General features: G+C 42.8%; 2 pseudogenes; both read left to right on the top strand.

The window, feature by feature from the left end:
- Positions 12,714 to 16,913, top strand: LOC399783 (zinc finger protein 532 pseudogene; annotated as a pseudogene).
- On the top strand, positions 20,115 to 21,151 carry RBBP6P1 (RBBP6 pseudogene 1; annotated as a pseudogene).

The following is a 21,535-nucleotide window of genomic DNA, read 5'->3' on the forward strand; positions in this document are numbered from 1 at the left end:
AAAGAAGAGCTGCATTTGATCCTAAACTCGAGTGGCCACCTCTGTATACTAAATGAGCCCCAAGGATAATCTGCCCCATTCATCAACACTTTCTAGTTTGCACCATGTTGGTGACTAAGGGGACACCAGGGGAGCAGATATGATCTCTACTGGCAATGAATTCAGTCTCCTGGGAAGATTCGGTGCAAACGATAGTTGCAATAAAACATGGTGAGTGCTATTGTAGGACTGTGCCTAAATGCTTCAGGAACAAAAAGAAAGAGAACCCAGCTCTTGAGATAGCAGCAGAAAAAGAGGTTCAGCAGGGAGACGGGGTCAGATTGAACACAGCTAAGGAGGCTGTGCAGTGTTACAGGAGTTGTGGGGGGGCGGTCTCTGGAAGGATCTAGGTAGGGGGATATTTTAGTTAGGAAAACCACCCCACCCTTCTACATGCATGGAGGGCAGGCTAGAGGGCAGCAGTGCTGGGAGAAAGACAACTAAGTAGGAGATGACGGGGCCAGGCATGGTGACTCACGCCTGTAATCCTAGCACTGTGGGAGGCCAAGGCAGGTGGATCACCTGAGGTCAGGAGTTTGAGACCAGCCTGGCCAACATGGTGAAACCCGTCTCTACTAAAAATACAAAAAACTAGCCGGGCATGGTGGTAGGTGCCTGTAATCTCAGCTGCTCCGGAGGCTGAGGGGGGACAATCACTTGAACCTGGGAGGCAGAGGTTGCAGTGAGCCGAGATCCCACCACTGCACTCCAGCCTAGGCAACAAGAGTGAAACTCCGTCTCAAAATAATAATAATAATAAGAAGAAGATGATGATGATGATGACGCATAGACCAGGCAGGAGATGAGAGTTAAACTCAAGCAGAAGCACTGAGGATGGAAAAAGAGAATGGATTAAATAAAAAGAAATCAGAGGTAATAAAAATGAAGGTTTTTTCCCCTGTGTGGTTCACTTGGACTTCACATTCATTTGCCATAAAATTTTGCATCTGACTTGATCCTGACTGAAGCATCGTGGAGATCTGGTTTTTAGGTTAAGTTCAAACTTCTGGGAAACACAAGTCAGACCGGAAGATCAGAGTTTCCATGCAGATATGATCTCTACTGGCAATAAATTCAGTTTCTGGAAAACATTTGGTGCTATCAGTCCTGTTTGCTTTTGAGCAAATTATTTGCATTTTCTGAAACTCAGTCTCATCATTTGTAAAGTGAGAATTATGATATCTACCTCTGCATCTTATGGCATAAGCTAACTTGGGTGCCAATATTGTCTCATCCCTTTTCATCTTTTCTAATAATGATAACAACAGCAACCTCCAACATTTACTGGGCACCTAATATGTACCAGGCACTATTCAACATGCACTAATTCATTTGATCCTCACAACCACCTTAGGAGATAGATTCTATTATTGTCACCATTCTGCAAATAAAGAAACGGAGGCAGAAAGATGCAGTAACTTGCCAACTCCCCAGGCTGTGGCAGAGCAAAGATGTGAGCTCGCCTTCTCTCATAATTGCCTCAGCACTCGCCTACCCTGATGCACAGGAAGTCCAACGCCTCCTTTCTGGGCCCTCCCTCCTCCCCTGTATTGTCCAAGAATCCTTCTTCTTCAGTCCTGCTCCCTGGCACCAGATGGACAAAGAACAACTCCAGCCCTATGCTGCCATTGCTGGATGCTGCCACACGGTGTCGCTATGGAAGGTGTAGCCTGCAATTGGCGCTGGTGGTCTGTTGATGGGATGTTCTTGCTGGTTCTGGTCCCTGTCCAAGCTACAATGGGGTCCCAAGCAGAGGCTCTGAGACTTCACTTCCTTTTTTTTTTTTTTTTTTTTTTGAGACAGAGTCTCGCTCTGTTGCCCAGGGTGAAGTGCAGCAGTGCAATCTCTGCTTACTACAACCTCCACCTCCCAGGTTCAAACGATTCTCCTGCCTCAGTCTCCCGAGTAGCTGGGATTACAGGCATGCACCAGCACGCCTGGCTAATTTTTTGTATTTTTAGTGAAGACAGGGTTTCCCCATGTTGCCAAGGCTGGTCTTGAACTCCTAGGCTCAAGTGATCCTCCCTCCTTGGCCTTACAAGCATCACAGAGCTTGCAAGATAGTGAAAAATTATCTGGCCAAGTTCCAAAAGAGGCCCAGAATCTAGAGAGGTTAGTAAAACAATTGGGCTTCTGTTGTTCCAAGTTTAGCTGCGCTTCTGGGCTTTGGTGGCCTCAAGATACTATGGGAAAAAAGTTGGCATCCAGGGCCCACCACGTGTCAGACCCAATATATGATCTGGCTCTGGGATGTGACCCCAGAATGCTGCACACTTGAAGTAAGAATAACAAGAAACAAACCAGTCCTCGCATAGATGAAAATGTGCTTCAAAAATCTGAGTGCTGGAGAAAACAACAAGGCCTGAACTTGAATTAAGGTAATCCTGTGTTGGTAGTGCTCCCAGTCTCCTGGCAAAACGAATAAAGAACCTACTTTTAGAAGACAAGGGCACAGTATAGGCCTTAAATTATGTTTTCCAAGCACAATGTCTAACACAGAGTCAAGGATAACCAAGTACACGTGAAGATAAAATGCTATGGATGAGGCCAGGTGCCGTGGCTCACGCCTGTAATCCCAGCACTTTGGGAGGCTGAGGCGGGCGGATCACGAGGTCAGGAGTTTGAGACCAGCCTGACTAACATGGCGAAACCCCATCTCTACTAAAAATACAAAAATTAGCCGGGCGTGGTGGGGGGCCCCTATAATTCCAGCTACTCAGAAAGCTGAGGCAGGAGAATCACTTGAGATCGTGCCACTGCACTCCAGCCTGGGCGACAGAGCGAAACTCCGTCTCAAAGAAAAAAAAAAAAAAAAGATAAAAAAATGCTATGGATGAGAATAAACAGAAACAGCAAACAGACACACCCACAGGAACTGCAAATAATGGAATCATCAGCAGATACCATAAAATAAATAGGTCTGCTATGTTCAAGGAGATAAAAGTTTATTTAAACCATTTTGGCAGAAAACTGGAAATCATAAAAAGTGACATAACAGATATGTAAGGAAACTGTGAACCCTGAACATCTGAGATGGTCTCAATTAATTTAGAAAGTATATTTTGCCAAGATTGAGGACATGTGCCTGTGATACACCCTCAGGAGGTCCTGACAACATGTGCCCAAGGTGGTCAGAGCCCAGTTTGGTTTTATACATTCTAGGGAGACATGAGACATCAATCAACATAATGCAAGATGAACACAGGTTTGCTCTGGAAAGGTGGGACAACTCGAAGCAAAGATGGGAAGACTCGAAGCAGGGCAAGGTTTCCAGGTCATAGGTAAATAAGAGACAAATGGTTGCACTCTTCTGAGTTCCCGATTAGTCTCTCCAAAGGAGGCAATCAGATATACATTCATCTCAGTGAGCAGAGGGGTGACTTTGGGTAGAATGGGAGGCAGGTTGACTCTAAGCAGTTCTCAGCTTCACTTTTGCCTTTAACTTAGCAATTTGGGGGCCCCAAGATTTATTTTCCTTTCACAAAACCAAATAGATTTTTTAGAATTGAAAAATACAATACTATTAAAATTAAAAATTCAATAACTTTTTTTCTGCCTGATTTTATCTTTTTAACAGCTTTATTGAGGTATGGTTTACATAAATAAAATCCACCTATTTAAAGTGCTTAGTTCGATGAGCCTGCCTATGCAGAGGACTTTTTGAAGGAGAGAAATTCTGAAATTATGAATCTAACAGTTTAAATTAGGAACGTAATTCATATAGACTACACCATTCCCAGCTACAATCCTCTTTCAGAGAGAGAAGCACCTTTGCTCTCCAGTCATTTACAATCCTTCAGAATGGAAGCAACTGGCTCCATGGTTCCAGGTTTTATACCCCTTTGAAGTGTAAATTAATAGTCTCAGAAAGAAAAATGGGAACGTCTTTACTACAGAATGCAAGCATTTGGCCTGAGGTGGGGTGGGTGGGAGTTAGAAGATGATAAATCTTATTGCCCTTTGAATGGGAGCAGATGGCTTTAGTCCTAACACCCTCTAACCTTAACTCAGATGTCAATAACATTTGCTCAGAAAGCCCTAATTGTGAAGAGACATGAAAATAATTGCTTATTGACAGATCGAGATGCAGAGGATATGGTGAGACAGTCTTAACGCATATGTTTTATTGGTGTCCCTAAAGAAAAAAATAATGGGAACAGAGGCAAATGTGAATAAATCATTACTAAAGAGTGTTCAAAACTAATAAAAGGCCAAGCACAGTGGCTCAGGCCTGTAATTCCAGCACTTTGGGAGGCTGAGGCAGGTGGATCATGAGGTCAGGAATCGAGACCAGCCTGGCCAATATGGTGAAACCCCGTCTCTACTAAAAATACAAAAATGAGCTGGGCATGGTGGCGCATGCCTGTAACCCCAGCTACTTGGGAGGCTGAGGCAGGAGAATTGCTAGAACCTGGGAGGTGGAGGTCGCAGTGGGCCGAGATCATACCACTGCACTCCAGCCTGGGCAACAGTGCAAGACTCCATCTCAGAAAAAAAAAAAACAAAAAAACCCACTAATTAAAGACACAAAACCACGTGTTTAAGAAGCCAAATAAATCTCAAGGCAGAAAATTTTAAAAATAAATCAACATGTAGATACATTATAGTGAAACTGCAAAAAAACAAAGACAAAGAGAAACCTTAAAAGATGTCTTTACAGAGGCAGCAGTTAGAGTAACAGCTAAATTCTCAAAAGAAACAATGGAAGCTAGAAGACAGTAGAATGACCATCTCAATGCACTGAAAGAAAATTGTTGGGGTGATCAGACCCAACACCAAGTCGTGGGGGTACAAAGTCTGGCAGAGTCAAAGGATTGAGAAAAAGACAGTTTGAGAGAGAAAAACCTGGGACCAGGGGGACATCACTAGTGTATGGAGGCTGCGAAGGCCCTGAGCTCTAGGAGCCCATGCTATTTATTGGTAATCCAACAAAGAAACAGGTGATGAGAATGTGGAGGTCAAAAGGGCATGTTGCATTAAGCACATGATTTACAGCTGTGATGGTTTAGCATTTGCTCTGCTACTTGAGATAATGGAGAGCAGATTCTTTTAACTCAAGATACAATCGATCCTGAGAGAGCAAGGAGCAAGAAGCCAGCAAGTCTAGACACATTCCAGAGCCTCGAGCCCTGGATTCTATCCAAGCCATGAGGGATTTTATGCCCTGGGTTTAAGTTATGGTGCATCAGGGTAGCCTTCTACCCTTTAGCACAGAGCTTGGTGTTCCAAAGGCCACAAGGGGCTTTAGACCCTGGACCCCGCACATATTCCAAGACTTTTTTATATTATGTCAGACATGCAAACCCTGCCTCAGCTTCTGTCAACACTCAGCTTTTCCCAACAGAAAATAACTGCTTATATTGTTTGGATATTTGTCCCACCCAGATCTCATATTGAATTGTGATGTCCAACGATGGAGGTGGGGCCTGGTGGGAGGTGTTTGGGTCATGGAGGCAGCTCCCTCGTGGCTTGGTGTTGTCTTCATGATAGTGAGTTCTCACAAGATCTGGTCATTTAAAACTGTGTGTCACTTCCCCCCAACTCTCTCTCTCTTGCTCCTGCTTTTACTATGTGAAGTGCCTGCTCCTGCTTCACCTTCCACCATCAGTAAAAGCTCCCTGACGCCTCCCGAGAAGCAGATACCAGTACTATGCTTCCGGTACAGCCTGAAGAATTGTGAGCCAATTAAACCTCCTTTCATATAAATACCTAGTCTCAAGTATTTCTTTATAAATGCAAAAACAGCCTAATGTAGAAAATTGGTACCTAGCATGGGGCATTGCTATAAAGATACCTGGAAATGTGAAAGCAGCTTTGCAATTGGGTAATGAGCAGAGGTTTGAAAAGTTTGGAGAGCTCAAAAGAAGACAGGAAGATGAGGGGAAATTTGGAACTTCTTAGAGACTGGTTAAATAGTTGTGACCAAAATGCTGATAGTGATATGGACAGTGAAGTCCAGGCTGATGAGGTCTCAGATGGAAATCAGAAACTTATTGGGAACTGGAGCAAAGGTCACCCTTGTTATACTTTAGCAAAGATCTTGACTGCATTCTGCTCTTGCCCTAGAGGTCTGTGGAAATTTGAAGTGATTATTGACAGTATCTGGCAGAAGAAATTTCTAAGCAGCAAAGTGTTCAAGATGTACCTGACTGCTTCTAACAGTCCACATTCAGATGCAGGAGCAAAGAAATAAAGTTGAAATTTATATATGAACAGGAAGCAGAACTTAAATGTTTGGAAAATTTGCAGCTGGACCATGTGACAGAGAAAGAAAAAGCTTTTTTGGGAGAGGAATTCAAGCAGGCTGTGGAATAACCACTTGTACGAGATATTTGTGTAACTAAATGGAGCCAAGTACCTTTATCTAAGACATGAGGAAAAGGCCATGACATTTTGAAGACAACCTTCGTGCCTGTCCCTCCCCTCCCAGGTCCAGAGGCTTAGAAGGAAAGAATGGTTTCATGGGCCAGGCCCAGGGCCCAGTGGCCCTGCACAGCTTCAGGACACTGCTCCCCACATCCCAGCTGCTCCAGCTCCAACTGTGGCTCAAAAGGGCCCAGGTACAGCTCAGGCTGTCACTTTGGGGAATGCAAGCCATAAGCCTTGGTGGCTTTCATGTGATGTTAAACCTGTAGATGTGCAGAATGCAAGAGTGAAGAATGCTAGGCAGCCTCTGCCTAGATTTTAGAGGCTGTATGAGAATGCCCAGGTGCCCATGCAAAAACCTGATTCAGGGACAGAGTCCTTATAGAAAACCTCTACTAGGAAAGTACCAAGGGGAAATGTGAGGTTGGAGCCCCCACACGGAGTCCCCCCACTGGGCCACTGCCTAGTGGAGCTGTGAAAAGGAGACCACCTTTCTCCAGACCCCAGAATGGTAGATCCACTGGCAGCTTGTACCCTGCACCTGCAAAAGCCACAAGCACTAAACTGAGAGCAGCCACAGGGGATGTACCCTGCAAAGCCACAGAGGTGGAGCTGCCCGAGACCTAGGGAGCCCACCCCTTGCACCAGTGTCCCCTTGTTACAGGACATAGAGTCAAAAAAGTTTATTTTTGGAGCTTTAAGATTGAATGACTGCCCTGCTGGGTTTCAAACATGCATGGAGCCTGTAGCCCTTTCCTTTTGGCCAGTTTCTCCCTTTGGAATGGGAATGTTTATCCAATGCTTATACTCCCATTGTACCTTGGAGGTAACTTGTTTTTTATTTTAGAGGATCATAGGTGGAAGGGATTTGCTTTGTTTCAAATGAGACTTTGGACTTTTGAGTTAATGCTGGAATGAGTTAAGACTTTGGGGGACTGTTGGGAAGGCATGACTATATTTTGCAATGTGAAAAGGACATGAGTTTAGGAGGGGCCAGGGGTGGAATGATATAGTTTGGATATTTGTCCTTTCCCAAATCATGTTGGATTATGATCCCCAGTGCTGGAGGTGGGGCCTGGTGGAAGATGCTTGGATCATGGGGGTGTTTCCCTCATGGCTTGGTGCTGTCTTTGTGATAGTGAGTTCTCACAAAATCTGGTCATTTAAAAGTGTGTGGCACTTGGCCGGGCGCAGTGGCTCATGCCTGTAATCCCAACACTTTGAGAGACCAAGGTGGGCGGATCACCTGAGGTCAGGAGTTTGAGACCAGCCTGGCCAACATGGTGAAACCCTATCTCTACTAAAAATACAAAATTAGCCAGGCATGGTGGTGCACACCTCTGATCCCAGCTACTCAAGAGGCTGAGGCAGGAGAATCGCTTGAACCCGGGAGGCAGAGGTTGCAGTGAGCCGAGATCGCGCCATTGCACTCCAGCCTGGGCAAAAAGAGTGAAACTGTCTAAAAAAAAAAAATGTGTGGCACCCCTGCTCACTCCCCATCTCCTGCTCCTGCTTCCTGCTTTCACCATATGAAGTGCCTGCTGCTGCTTCGCCTTCTACCATGAGTAAAAGCTTCCTGAGGCCTCCCCAGAAGCATATGCCTCTCTGCTTCCTATACAGACTGCAGAACAGTGAGCCAACTGCACTTCTTTCCTTATAAATTACTCAGTCTCAGGTATTTCTTCATAGCAGTGCCAGAATGGCCTAATACACCTGTGAACATACAAATTTACAATTTCCTTTACCCAGGAAAAAAACTCACCAACAATAAATACAAACTAAAGACATATTCAACAGATAAAATCTGAGGGAGTTCACCACCAGTATACCAGTATTCATTCTTCAATATGGAGCCAAGAAAGTGATATGTGTGTGTGTGTATATACATATATATTACTTACATATGAGTATATATATGTATGTATATGTGTATATATATGTATGTATGTGCCTGCATGTACATACTCACATCCATCAAGACATTATTATTTGCTTAATAAATACATACATATTAATATATTAATTACATATTAATATGTATTAAACACATGCATAATATATACATATTTATATAATATATAGACATAAATATTAAGCAAATAAAATAATAATAGTGCCTTGATGTATGTGAGCATCCACATGCATCTACACAAATACACACACACACATTTCTACATATTTACCCTTTCCAACGCTCTTCTTTCCTACACATCCAGGATTTATCTGGTGTATCAGGCCATTCTTCCATTGCTATAAAGACATACCTGAGACTGAGTAATTTGTAAGAAAAGAGGTTTAATTGGTTCATGGTTCTGCAGGCTGTACAGGAAGCATGACAGCTTCTGTTTCTGGGGAGGCCTAGGGAGCTTATACTTGTGGTGGAAGGCAAAGTGGGATCAGGCTATCTTATAAGAAGGGAGCAGGAGAAAGAGAGAGAAAAAAAGGAGGAAGTGCTACACACTTCCAAACAACCAGATCACACGAGAACTCACTCATAATCACAAGAACAGCACCAAGGAAATGGTGCTAAACTATTTATGATGAATCAGCCCCCAGTCGCCTCCCACCGGGTGGCCCCACCTCCAAGAATAGGGATTACAATATAACATGAGATTTGGGTGGGGACATAGATGCAAACCATATCATCAGGTGTCATTTCCTTTTAACCTAAAATGTTTATAGTTTGTAGACTTATGTAGTGCAAGTCTACTTACTGGACTAATTTCCTCAGCTTTTTCCTGTCTACAAATGTCTTTATTTTGCCTTTATTTTTGAAGTATGTATTTTGAATGCTTTGTTAAATTCTTTCAGCATTTTAAAGAAGCCATTACATTGTCTCTGCATTTTTAATAAGAATTCAGCCATCATTCTTTCTTCTTGTTACCTTCTTAAATGTATTTGCCCCTTTTCTCTGATAGCACTTAAGATATCCTCTTTAATATTGGTTTTCAGCAATTTGACCATGATGTGCTTTGGTATGGTTTTCTTTGTATTTATTCTGCTTGAGTTTTAATTTTTCTCTTTATGCATCGGTTTGGATTAATTTAATTAACCTATCTTCAAGTTTATGGATCTTCCCTTGTGCTCTATTCAGTCTGCTGATAAGTACTTCAAATGAATTTTTCATTTCAGTACTGGAATTCCCATTTTATTCTTTTGTAGAGTTTCAGATTTCCTGCCGAAATTTACAATCTGTTCACACATTTTGCTTGGCTTTTCCAGTGAATATTTTAACAGAGTTGTAATACTTATTTTAAAGTTTTTGTCGGCTGATTTCAACATCTGGGTCATTCCTCATTCTGTTTTTTTGTTGTTGTTGTTGTTGTTGTTGTTTTTCTTTCTCTTGATTATTCATTACATCTTCCTGCTTTTTTTTTTTTTTTAGACAGAGTCTCACTCTGCTGCCCAGGCTGGAGTGCAGTGGCACAATCTTGGCTCACTGCAACCTCCACCTCCCAGGTTCAAGCAATTCTCGTGCCTCAGCCTCCCAAGTAGCTGGGATTACAGGTGTGCACCACCACGGCTGGCTAATTTTTGTATTTTTAGTAGAGATGGGCTTTCACCATATTGGCCAGGCTGGTCTCGAACTCCTGACCTCAGGTGACCCACCCACCTCAGCCTCCCAAAGTGCTGGGATTACAGGCATGAACCACCGCACCCAGCCCTTCCTGCTTTTTATAAACATGTCTTCTCTATTTAGTTATGTGCACATTTGGAAAGAATTAGTGGGCAGGTGTGCCCTGAGCAAGTCTCTCTTAATTCTCCCTTCCCTGTTCCTCCTGCTGCCAGGTTCTCAGTGAAGACTTAGGAAGAGTTGATGGGTGGATGGTCCTAGAGAAATCTCTTTACCCTCATTTCCTGTCCTTAGCCTTTACCAGGACAGGGCTATGAAGTTGGTGAAGACCCTGTAGATGAGAACTGGCATATAGATGTCATTTTGTATTTGGGACTTTGGGGGATTTTAATACATTTTGCCAGCTCATGCAAATTTGTTAAAAGTTCAGCTAGTTTCTCCTTGCATCTGCAAAAATTCCCATCTATAGTGGGTTCAATCTTCCATCCACCATACCCCTATGAGGAAAGCAGCCTTGGGTCTCACTTTCCTAGCAAGGGCTCTTTGCACTATGGAATTTAGTTTATTTCCACTTCTTTATCCTCAGCTTGGGTTTTTAACAACTATGCTTCTGTAGCTTATCCAGCTTACTCACATTATTTCAGTGAGAGCAATGATCTCTTGAAACTTTCTATATCCTAATTGGAGGTGGCAGTCTAAATGTTTTTCAAAAAGACTTACACATTTAAAATATGAAGAGAAAAGGTGAGAATAAAGTTTCTGACATCTGTAGACTATTAGATTATCCATCCCTTTCCATATCCAGGGACCATATTTAATGCTAACTTGACTCAGAGAAAATACCACCAGGTCATTTAGCTAGGTCTATATCCCTGCTGGGAAGGCCCAGGAAGGCTAATGCATCAAATGCCCACTGGAACAAAAACATCTTCTTTTAAAAAAATCACCTGTTTTAAAATGAAATTGGAGGAAAATGAAGCAAAAAAGAATTTACCCCTATTTCATCATACTGGATCTCTGTTTTCATTTAAAATGCTCTTTATCCTCATTTCAACATATTTCTACTTCTTAATCTGTGCTAGACTAGAACCAAATCCAGAAATCAGTTTTTCTAACAAACTTACTGAGTCTGAAGGGAGAGTTTGACTTTCTGCTCACCAACAAACTTGGGCACAGCCAGAATTTATGCTATTTCACATAAAGAAAAATAGGAGGGAAACGGCACTGACCCGAGAGGCCTTATGCAGCAACGATTCTCCTGAAGTGGGAGAGAAAGAGAATTAAAAAGATGAAACACACATCTTCTTTCCCCACAATGTTCAGTCAACTGCTCTAGGCCTTATTATGTAGAAGTGTACAATTGATAGATTCTGTAAGAAATTACCTAAAAATCTATACTTAATTGGTATCAAATAGTCTGAAATTTTCTGGTCACAAACCCTTTTTAAAATCTGATGAAGAGTCTAATGCAGGTAGCTTCAGTTGCAGGACACTTGAAACGCCCAGTGCCCTCCAGGGACAAATAGAACAATTAGGACTGCAAAAGGAGAACAAAAAGACATTTGTAGAACAGGTAAGTGGTACTTAGAAGGAAGGTCTAAAAGCAATCATCTAAGCTTCCACATTAAAGACTAGAAAGATAGAATAAACTGAAAATAAATAGAAGAAAAGAATAAAATCAAGGTGAGAATAAGAATAATGAAATAGAAAATGGATAACAGCAGAGATAACCCAATTAAAGCAAAAGCTGTATCTTTTAAAAGTATAATAAAATTGATAAACCTTTAGACTGCTCAAGAAAAAACAAAAATTACCAATATCAGAAGTTTAAAAGGAGACATAACTACAAGTCCTATGAACATTAAAATGATAGAAAGGAATAATATAAACAAACATATGCAAATACATTTATGGATATAATGAAATTATCCATTTTTTCAAAGAAGCAAATTACAAAAATGACAGAAGAGATAATCTAAGTTATACTATATCTATGAAAGAAATAGAAATTGTAGTTTTAAAATGTTTTTTTCACAAAGAAAATACCAACACAGATCACTTCACTGGTGAAGTTTATAAAATATTTAAGGAGAAAATAACACCAATATCACACTAACACTTTCAAAAAACAGATGGAGAGAATATTTCCTGTATCATTTTATGATGCCAGTATTATCCTGATAAGAAAAACAAAGTCATTACAAGAAAACTACAGGCTAATAGTATTTCTTATTAATATAAATCTTTAACAAAATATTAGCAAATCAAACATAGTAATATAGAAAAAGGATAATACATGTGACTTGGAGGGGGGCGGCACTTATCCCAGAATGCAGAGTTGGTCTAATATTTGAAAAATTAGTGTAATTCGTGACATTAATAGGATAAAAGAGAAAAATCATAATCTTGAGAGATGTGAAAAAACTTAACAGAAATAGGTGTTTATAACATTAAAAAAAAAAAAAAACTCTTATCAGGCACGGTGGCTCACCTGTAATCCCAGCACTTTGGGAGGCCAAGGTGGGAGGATCACTTGAGCCCAGGAGTTCAAGACCAGCCTGGGTAACATAGTGAAACCCCATCTCTATAAAAAATACAAAAATTAGCTGGATGTGGTGGCACATGCCTATAGTCCCAGCTACTTGGAAGGCTGAGGTGGGAGCATCACTTGAAACCAGGAGGTGGAGGTTGCAGTGAACCAAGATTGCACCACTGCACTCCAGCCTGGGCGACAGAGGGCGGGGAGAAAGACGGCTACAACCCCACTGGCAATGGCCTACATAATGGGTTTCTCACAGCGTCCTCCCTTGACAGTTACAGTAAAGATGGAGCGAAGTCCTTGAAAGGAGATGTGCCTGCCTCTGAGGTGACTTCGAAAGACTCGACGTTCAGCCAGTTTAGTCCGATCTCTAGTGCTGAAGAGTGTGGTGACGACGAGAAGATCAAGGTGGATGACCCCCTGACAAGGAGGACGTGCAATCAAGCTTCAGGTCGAACGTGTTGACAGGGTCGGCTCCCCAGCAGGACTATGATAAGCTGAAGGCATTTGGAGGGGAAAACTCCAGTAAAACTGGACTCTCTCCATCAGGCAATATGGAGAAAAACAAAGTTGTTAAGAGAGAAGCAGAAGCCAATTCTATAAACCTGAGTGTTTATGAACCTTTTAAAGTCAGAAAAGCAGAGGATAAATTGAAGGAAAACTCTGACAATGTGCTGGAAAACAGAGTCCTGGATGGGAAGCTGAGCTCCGAGAAGAATGACACCTGCCTCCCCGGCACTGCGCCATCAAAGACAAAGTCATCCTCCAAGCTCTCATCCTGCAGCTCTGCCATCATGGCTCTCAGCGCTAAAAAGGCGGCTTCAGACTCCTGCAAAGAACCAGTGGCCAATTCGAGGGAATCCTCCCCATTACCAAAAGAAGTAAATGACAGCCAGGCGCGGTGGCTCATGCCTGTAATCCCAGCACTTTGGGAGGCCAAGACGGGTGGATCATGAGGTCAGAAGTTCGAGACCAGCCTGACCAACATGGTGAAACCCTGTCTCTACTAAAAATGCAAAAATTAGTTGGGCATGGAGGTGCGCGCCTGTAATCCCAGCTATTTGGGAGGCTGGGGCAGGAGAATCGCTTGAACCTGGGAGGCGGAGGTTGCAGTGAGCCGAGATCACGCTACTGCACTCCAGCATGGGTGACAGAGCAAGACTCTGTCTCAAAAAAAAAAAAAAAAAGAAGAAGAAGAAGTAAACGACAGTCCGAGAGCCACCGACAAGTCTCCTGAATCCCAGAATCTCATAAACGGGACCAAAAAAACCATCCCTAAAGCAACCGGATAATCCCAGAAGCATCTCAAGTGAGAACAGCAGCAAGAGTTCCCCGTCCTCTCCTGCAGGGTCCGCACCAGCAATCCTCAAAGTCCGCATAAAAACCATTAAGATGTCTTCTGGGGAAATCAAGAGAACAGTGACCAGGGTATTGCCAGAAGTGGATCTTGACTCTGGGAAGAAATCTTCTGAGCAGACGGCGTCTGTGATGGCCTCTGTGACATTCCTTCTGTCATCTCCAGCATCAGCTGCCATCCTTTCCTCTCTCCTCAGGGCGCCTCTCCAGTCCACGGTCATGACCAATGCAGTTTCACCTGCAGAGCTCACCCCTAAACAGGTCACAATCAAGCCTGTGGCTACTGCTTTCCTCCCAGTGTCTGCTGTGAACGAAAGTGAAGACGGCAGGATCCCGAGTCATTAATTTGAAGCTCGCTAACAACACCACAGTGAAAGCCACAGTCATATCTGCTGCCTCTGTCCAGAGCGCCAGCAGCGCCATCATTAAAGCCGCCAACGCCATCCAGCAGCAAACTGTCGTGGTGCCGGCACCCAGCCGGGCCAACGCCAAACTCGTGCCAAAGACTGTGCACCTTGCCAACATTAACCTTTTGCCTCAGGGTGCCCAGGCCACCTCTGAACTCCGCCAAGTGCTAACCAAAGCTCAGCAACAAATAAAGCAGGCAATAATCAATGCAGCAGCCTCGCAACCCCCCAAAAAGGTGTCTCGAGTCCAGGTGGTGTCGTCCTTGCAGAGTTCTGTGGTGGAAGCTTTCAACAAGGTGCTGAGCAGTGTCAATCCAGTCCCTGTTTACATTCCAAACCTGAGTCCTCCCACCAATGCAGGGATCACGTTACCAACGCGTGGGTACAAGTGCTTGGAGTGTGGGGACTCCTTTGCAGTTGAAAAGAGTCTGACCCAGCACTATGACAGACAGAGCATGCGCATCGAAGTAACATGCAACCATGGTACAAAGAACCTCATTTTTTACAACAAATGCAGCCTCCTTTCCCATGCCCGTGGGCATAAGGAGAAAGGGGTGGTAATACAATGCTCCCACTTCATTTTAAAGCCAGTCCCAGCAGGTCAAATGATAGTTTCTCCATCAAGCAATATTTCCACTTCAACTTCCACTCTTCAGAGCCCTGTGGGAGCTGGCACACACACTGTCACAAAAATTCAGTCTGGCATAACTGGGACAGTCATATCGGCTCCTTTAAGCATTCCCATCACCCCAGCCATGCCCCTAGATGAAGACCCCTCCAAAGTGTGTAGACATAGTCTAAAATGTTTGGAGTGTAATGAAGTCTTCAGTATGAGACATCAATGGCTACACATTTCCAGCAGGCTGCAGATACACGTGGACAAAAGACTTGCACTATCTGCCAGATGCTGCTTCCTAACCAGTGCAGTTACGCATCACACCAGAGAATCCATCAGCACAAATCTCTCTACACCTGCCCTGAGTGCGGGGCCATCTGCAGGTCGGTGCACTTCCAGACCCATGTCACCAAGAACTGTCTGCACTACATGAGGAGAGTTGGTTTTCGATGTGTGCATTGCAATGTTGTATACTCTGATGTGGCTGCCCTGCAGTCTCACATTCAAGGTTCTCACTGTGAAGTCTTCTACAAGTGTCCTATTTGTCCAATGGCATGTAAGTCCGCCCCAAGCACACATTCCCACACCTACACACAGCATCCTGGCATCAAGATAGGAGAACCAGAAATAATATATAAGTGTTCCATGTGCGACACTGTGTTCACCCTGCAAACCTTGCTGTATCGCCACTTTGACCAACACATTGAAAACCAGAAGTTGTCTGTTTTCAAGTGTCCAGACTGTTATCTTTTATATGCACAGAAGCAACTTATGATGGACCATATCAAGTCTATGCATGGAACATTGAAAAGTATTGAAGGGCCTCCAAACTTGGGTATAAACTTGCCTTTGAGCATTAAGCCTGCAACTCAAAATTCAGCAAATCAGAACAAAGAGGACACCAAATCCATGAATGGGAAAGAGAAATTGGAAAAGAAATCTCCATCTCCTGTGAAAAAATCAGTGGAAACCAAGAAAGTGGCCAGTCCTGGGTGGACGTGTTGGGAGTGTGACCGCCTGTTCATTCAGAGAGATGTGTACATATCCCACGTGAGGAAGGAGCAAGGGAAGCAAATGAAGAAACATCCCTGCCGCCAGTGTGACAAGCTCATCCCACAGCCTGTGCCAGCACAACCGGATCAAGCACAAAGGCATCAGGAAAGTGTATGCCTGCTCGCACTGCCCAGACTCCAGACGTACCTTTACCAAACGATTGATGCTAGAGAAGCACGTCCAGCTGATGCACAGCCTCAAGGACCCTGACCTGAAAGAAATGACAGATGCCACCAATGAGGAGGAAACAGAAATAAAAGAAGACACCAAGTTCCCCAGTCCCAAGTGGAAGTTGGAAGAACCAGTTCTGGAGCTCAGGCCTTCCTGAGGAGCAATCACTCAACCACTGAAAAAGCTGAAAATCAATGTTTTTAAGGTTCTCAAGAGTGCCATGTGTGGCTTCACCACCGAAAACCTGCTTCAGTTCCACGAACACATCCCTCAGCACAAATCTGATAGTTCTTCCTACCAGTGCCAGGAGTGTGGCCTCTGGTACACGTCTCACGTCTCTCTGTCCAGGCACCTCTTCATTGTACACAAGTTAAAGGAACCTCAGCCAGTGTCCAAGCAAAATGGAGCTGGGGAAGATAACCAACAGGAGAACAAACCCAGCCATGAGGATGAATCCCCCAATGGCACCGTGTCAGACAGAAAGTGCAAAGTGTGCGTGAAAACTTTTGAAACTGAAGCTGCCTTAAATACTCACATGCGGATACATGGCATGGCCTTCATCAAATCCAAAAGGATGAGCTCAGCCAAGAAATAGCCACAGAAGGTACATGAGGAAAATCCCTGTCCACATTGGAATAAAAAAGATATTTTTGTTACAAAAAGTTTGCAGTATAATAAACAGTACTGTCTAGGCTGTTGCAATATGTTCTCTTTCAACGTACCTTCCTTCACCTCGTTGTATATATCCTCGATAAGTAGTAAAACAGTATTTGAGTTTCAAAGAGTTTGTATAGATTTAAATGAATAACTTTTTATACTGTTTGTTACACATTTGTATCAGTATTTAGTGGCAAACGATTTGAGTTGTTTTGGGTCAGAATTTTTCTTTTTGTACTGTTTCTTTAAAACAGAGTTCTTAGTAACAGGGGCAGCTCCTGAATTCAAATAAACCATTTTGTATGTTTGGATTTTGAAGAGGTTAACTAATTACAGGCTAAAATAATGCCTTTTTTAGTGTTTTTAATTTTTAGAATACACTACATAAATTGTAAGTAATTGTGGGTCTCAAAAACCCTAGGAACTTTTAAGTGTCTTAGCACTTCCTCGATGTGCCTGCCCTGAAGGAGTGAGCTCACATGTGAGACAACTGCACTCCAGTGTGGGCGTGCCTTTTTCTTCAGGCCATGCGAAGGGTGTTTAAAGCAGCCTTGCAGGTCGCTCCTTTCCCAGCCGTGGATAAAAACTGAAGCCAGGAATCTAATAAGGAATGCTGATTTCCTCAATTCCATTTTGGGGCATGGGGAAGGCTGTTCTAAAGAAAAAAATGGGACTGGTTTTCTAGGCAGATCTGCAAGGCTGGCTTTAAAAGCACAAGGAGGGAAAGTAACGAAAGGGCTGGACTACTATAAAAGTTACAAATACGTAGTTAGACCAATAGATTTATATAGTCAGGTTTTTGTCATGTAATTTATTAACTATTACAGAAACACAACTAAGAATATCAAGTATTTCTCTGGCTCTTGACAGAAAAAAAAATCAGTTGACTTAACCCTTTGCTGTCAAAAGAGTTGGCATTGCCTGTTCTAGGTGCTACTGCCAAATGTTCTGATACTTAGAGTTGGGATGCACAACGTCAACCACTGACTTCTCAATGCAGCCGCCTGTGTATTGCAATTGGCCGTTACCTTAAGCGCGGGGCCACCCGGGTTTAGTTCAGCCATTTCAAGAAGTATATTTAACGTCGGTAGTTCTGCTTTATTAAAATGCAGCAGAGGTACTCTTCTGTCCCTTCCGTTTATAGTTCTCTGAGAGAGTTCTATTTTTTGGTTTTGTTTCGTGTTTTCTTTTTTTTTTTTTTTTTTTTTTTTTTGAGACAGAGTCTTGCTCTGTCGCCCAGGCTGGAGTGCAGTGGAGTGATCTTGGCTCACTGCAAGCTCTGCTCGCCGGGTTCACACCATTCTCCTGCCTCACCCTCCCGAGTAGCTGGGACTACAGGCGCCCGCCACCACGCCCAGATAAGTTTTTTTTTTGTATTTTTAGCAGAGACGGGGTTTCACCATTGTTGCGGGAAGTCAGGGAACCCAAACGGAGGAACCTGCTGAAGCCATGACAGAAGAACATGGATTATGAAGATTTTATGGACATTTATTAGTTCCCCAAATTAATACTTTTGTAATTTCTTAATGCCTGTCTTTACTGCAATCTCTAAACATAAATTGTAAAGATTTCATGGACACGTATCACTTCCCCAATCAATACCCTTGTGATTTCCTATGCCTGTCTTGTCTTTAATCTCTTAATCCTGTCAGCTGAGAAGGATGTATATCGTCTCAGGACCCTGTAATAATTGCGTTAACTACACAAATTGTACAGCATGTGTGTTTGAGCAATATGAAATGTGGGCACCCTGAAAAAAGAACAGGATAACAGCAATTGTTCAGGGAATAAGAGAGATAACCTTAAACTCTGACTGCCGGTGAGCCGGGCAGAACAGAGCCATATTTCTCTTCTTTCAAAAACAAATGGGAGAAATATCGCTGAATTCTTTTTCTCAGCATGGAACGTCCCTGAGAAAAGAGAATGCGCACCTAGGGGTAGGTCTCTGAACTGGCCCCCCCGGGGCGTACCTGTCTCTTATGGTCGAGATTGCAGAGGTGAAATAAACTCCAGTCTCCCATAGTGCTCCCAGTCTTATTAGGAAGAGGAAATTCCCGCCTAATAAATTTTGGTCAGACAGGTTGATCTCAAAACCCTGTCTCCTGATAAGATGTTATCAATGACAATGGTGCCTGAAACTTCATTAGCAATTTTAATTTCGCCTCGGTCCTGTGGTCCTGTGATCTTGCCCTGCCTCCACTTGCCTTGTGACATTCTATTACCCTGTTAAGTACTTGATGTCTGCGACCCACACCTATTCGCACACCTCCCCTTTTGAAAATCCCTAATAAAAACTTGCTGGTTTTTGTGGCTTGTGGGGCATCGCGGATCCTACCAACGTGTGATGTCTCCCCCGGACACCCAGCTTTAAAATTTCTCTCTTTTGTACTCTGTCCCTTTATTTCTCAAGCCAGCTGACGCTTAGGAAAATAGAAAAGAACCTACGTGATTATCAGGGCAGGTCCCCCGATACACCATGTTAGCCAGGATGGTCTCAATCTCCTGACCTCGTGATCTGCCCACCTCAGCCTCCCAAAGTGCTGGGATTACAGGTGTGAGCCACCATGCCCAGGCTTGTTTTGTGTTTTATTTTGCATTTCATATCTTACATTTATCCCTGAACATGTTTTGTACTTTTTTTTGTTGTTAAGAAAAGGAATTCTTTTGTGTATCTATAGATACTTGCATGATCTACTGTAGTCAACGTTCGGTTCCTCAAAAGGTCTTGCTGCTGTCAGGTGTTATGCACTCCATCCATAATAACTGTGTGAAACACATTTCATATGTAAATAAACGTGGGACATTTGGCCCATGTGCTTCTGTGAGAGAGTTATTGATTGTGAGTCTCTGACATCTTTGTGAAGTTTGGGAAGTGACTAATTGCAGGGACAAGCTACAGGATGTTGCAGAATCCTTCCCACTCAGAAGAATGGCATGTTCTCTCTCATTAGTAATCAGCTATTTTGTCACTTTCTCATTGACTCCATCAGTACATCGGTACAATCCAAGGGTGTGAATTTCAGCTTGAAATTCCATTGCTATTACTTGTTATGTTTGTATTGCTCTAAGTTGTATTCATAGCACTTTCATATGTTTCTGCATTTGAACCTTGCAATAAGCCTGTGTGGTAGGCCACATAGGTCCAAATAACCTAGTTTTACAGTTGAGGAAGCTGAGCTCAGATTCAGTTCTTTGCTGAAGCCCTCATAGCTGGTAAGTGGCTTTGCATATTAGAACCCAAATATTTTGCTCTCTAAATCTAATGCTCGCTCTATGTGGTTATGTACATATTGACAAATATTCATTTATTCAACAAATAAAAAGTATGTACAAAGCATGAAAAAAATAAAAAATAAAAACAACAACAATAAACTATAGCTTCTGATCTGAACGGAAAACTAAGCTGATGGAGGAAAGAGAGTTTCTTAAAAATGGCAGAGGAGATTCCAAAAAAAAAGTAATTCTAGTCACTCAAGAGACCAAAAGACCTCATGATCACAAAGCCACTTATGATACTAAACACTCAAGGTAAGGGGCAAAATTTGTAGATAAAAGTCTTTGTGAAGATCATGAGACACATATATTAGAAGCAAAGAACAACAAAGAGTCAAGTGGCAATCAGTTACTTGATATTGTTATTCCACCAGGCACACAAATTGAGAAAGAGCAAATTACTGGGCAAGTTGAGAAGAATGCTACCAACCCTAAACCCCAGTTAAGTCACTCCTCTCGACTGTCCCCTGACTTAACTAGAGACACTGATGAAGCTGCTTTTGAGCCAGATTATAATGAAAGTGACAGTGGAAGTTATGTATCTGTAAAAGATGAGGAAACTTCAGGAAACACTTCTAAGGTCCTGAAAGATAAGATAATGGAGAAAGCAGGAGAAAGCAAAAGAAAGCCTGGACACAGTTGGCCAGGTAGGCATAGGAGGAGCCAGAGTCCGAGCAGAAGTCAGAGCCCTTCTGGAGGCCAGACTTGAGGCCATAGCAGCAGGGCCAGTTCTGCAGAAAGTTAGAATAGCAGGAAGAATAATAAAAAGTAGGAAAAGGAAAAGCACAAGAAACATTAAAAAAAAAAAAAAAAAAAACCATACATGCAGGTACTGCAGGGGAATTGGAAAAAAGCCAAAAAACACAGACATAAGAAAAGGAAGTCAAAGAAGAGCAAAAGATAAAGAGAAAGATAACAAAAAATGAAATCTGTCACCATGTAAAAGGACAGATTTTTTAAATGGACTTAATGGCTAAGTCTGTATTCAATTTTGTTATTATGTAAAGAGATTCAGGTCTTGTAAATAATGACATGGAAGACTCTGTGCTGCACTTAAAATATTGCTGCTTGATTATTGGATTTTTACATCAGAGGTTGATGCAGTTTGGATATTTGTCCCCACCCCAATCTCATGTTGAAATAAAATCCCCAGTGTTGGAAGTCAGGCCTGGTGGGAGGTGTCTGGGTCATGGAGGTGGATCCCTCATAGCTTGGTGCTTTCTCTGCAAAATCTGGTTGTTTAAAGTGTGTGGCACCTCCCCTACTCTCTCTTGCTTCTACTCCCACCATGTGAGACACATGCTCCTGCTTCACCTTTCACCATGATTGTAAGCTTCCTGAGACCTCCCCAGAAGCAGATGCCAGTGCTATGCTTCCTGTACAGTCTGAAGAACTATAAGCCAATTAAACCATTTTTCTTTATAAATTAACCAGTCTCAGGTATTTTTATAGAAATACAAGAATTGCTTAATACAGAAAATTGG

This window comes from Homo sapiens, chromosome 10, assembly GCF_000001405.40.
Source record: "Homo sapiens chromosome 10, GRCh38.p14 Primary Assembly".
NCBI classification, from domain to species: Eukaryota; Metazoa; Chordata; class Mammalia; order Primates; family Hominidae; genus Homo; species Homo sapiens.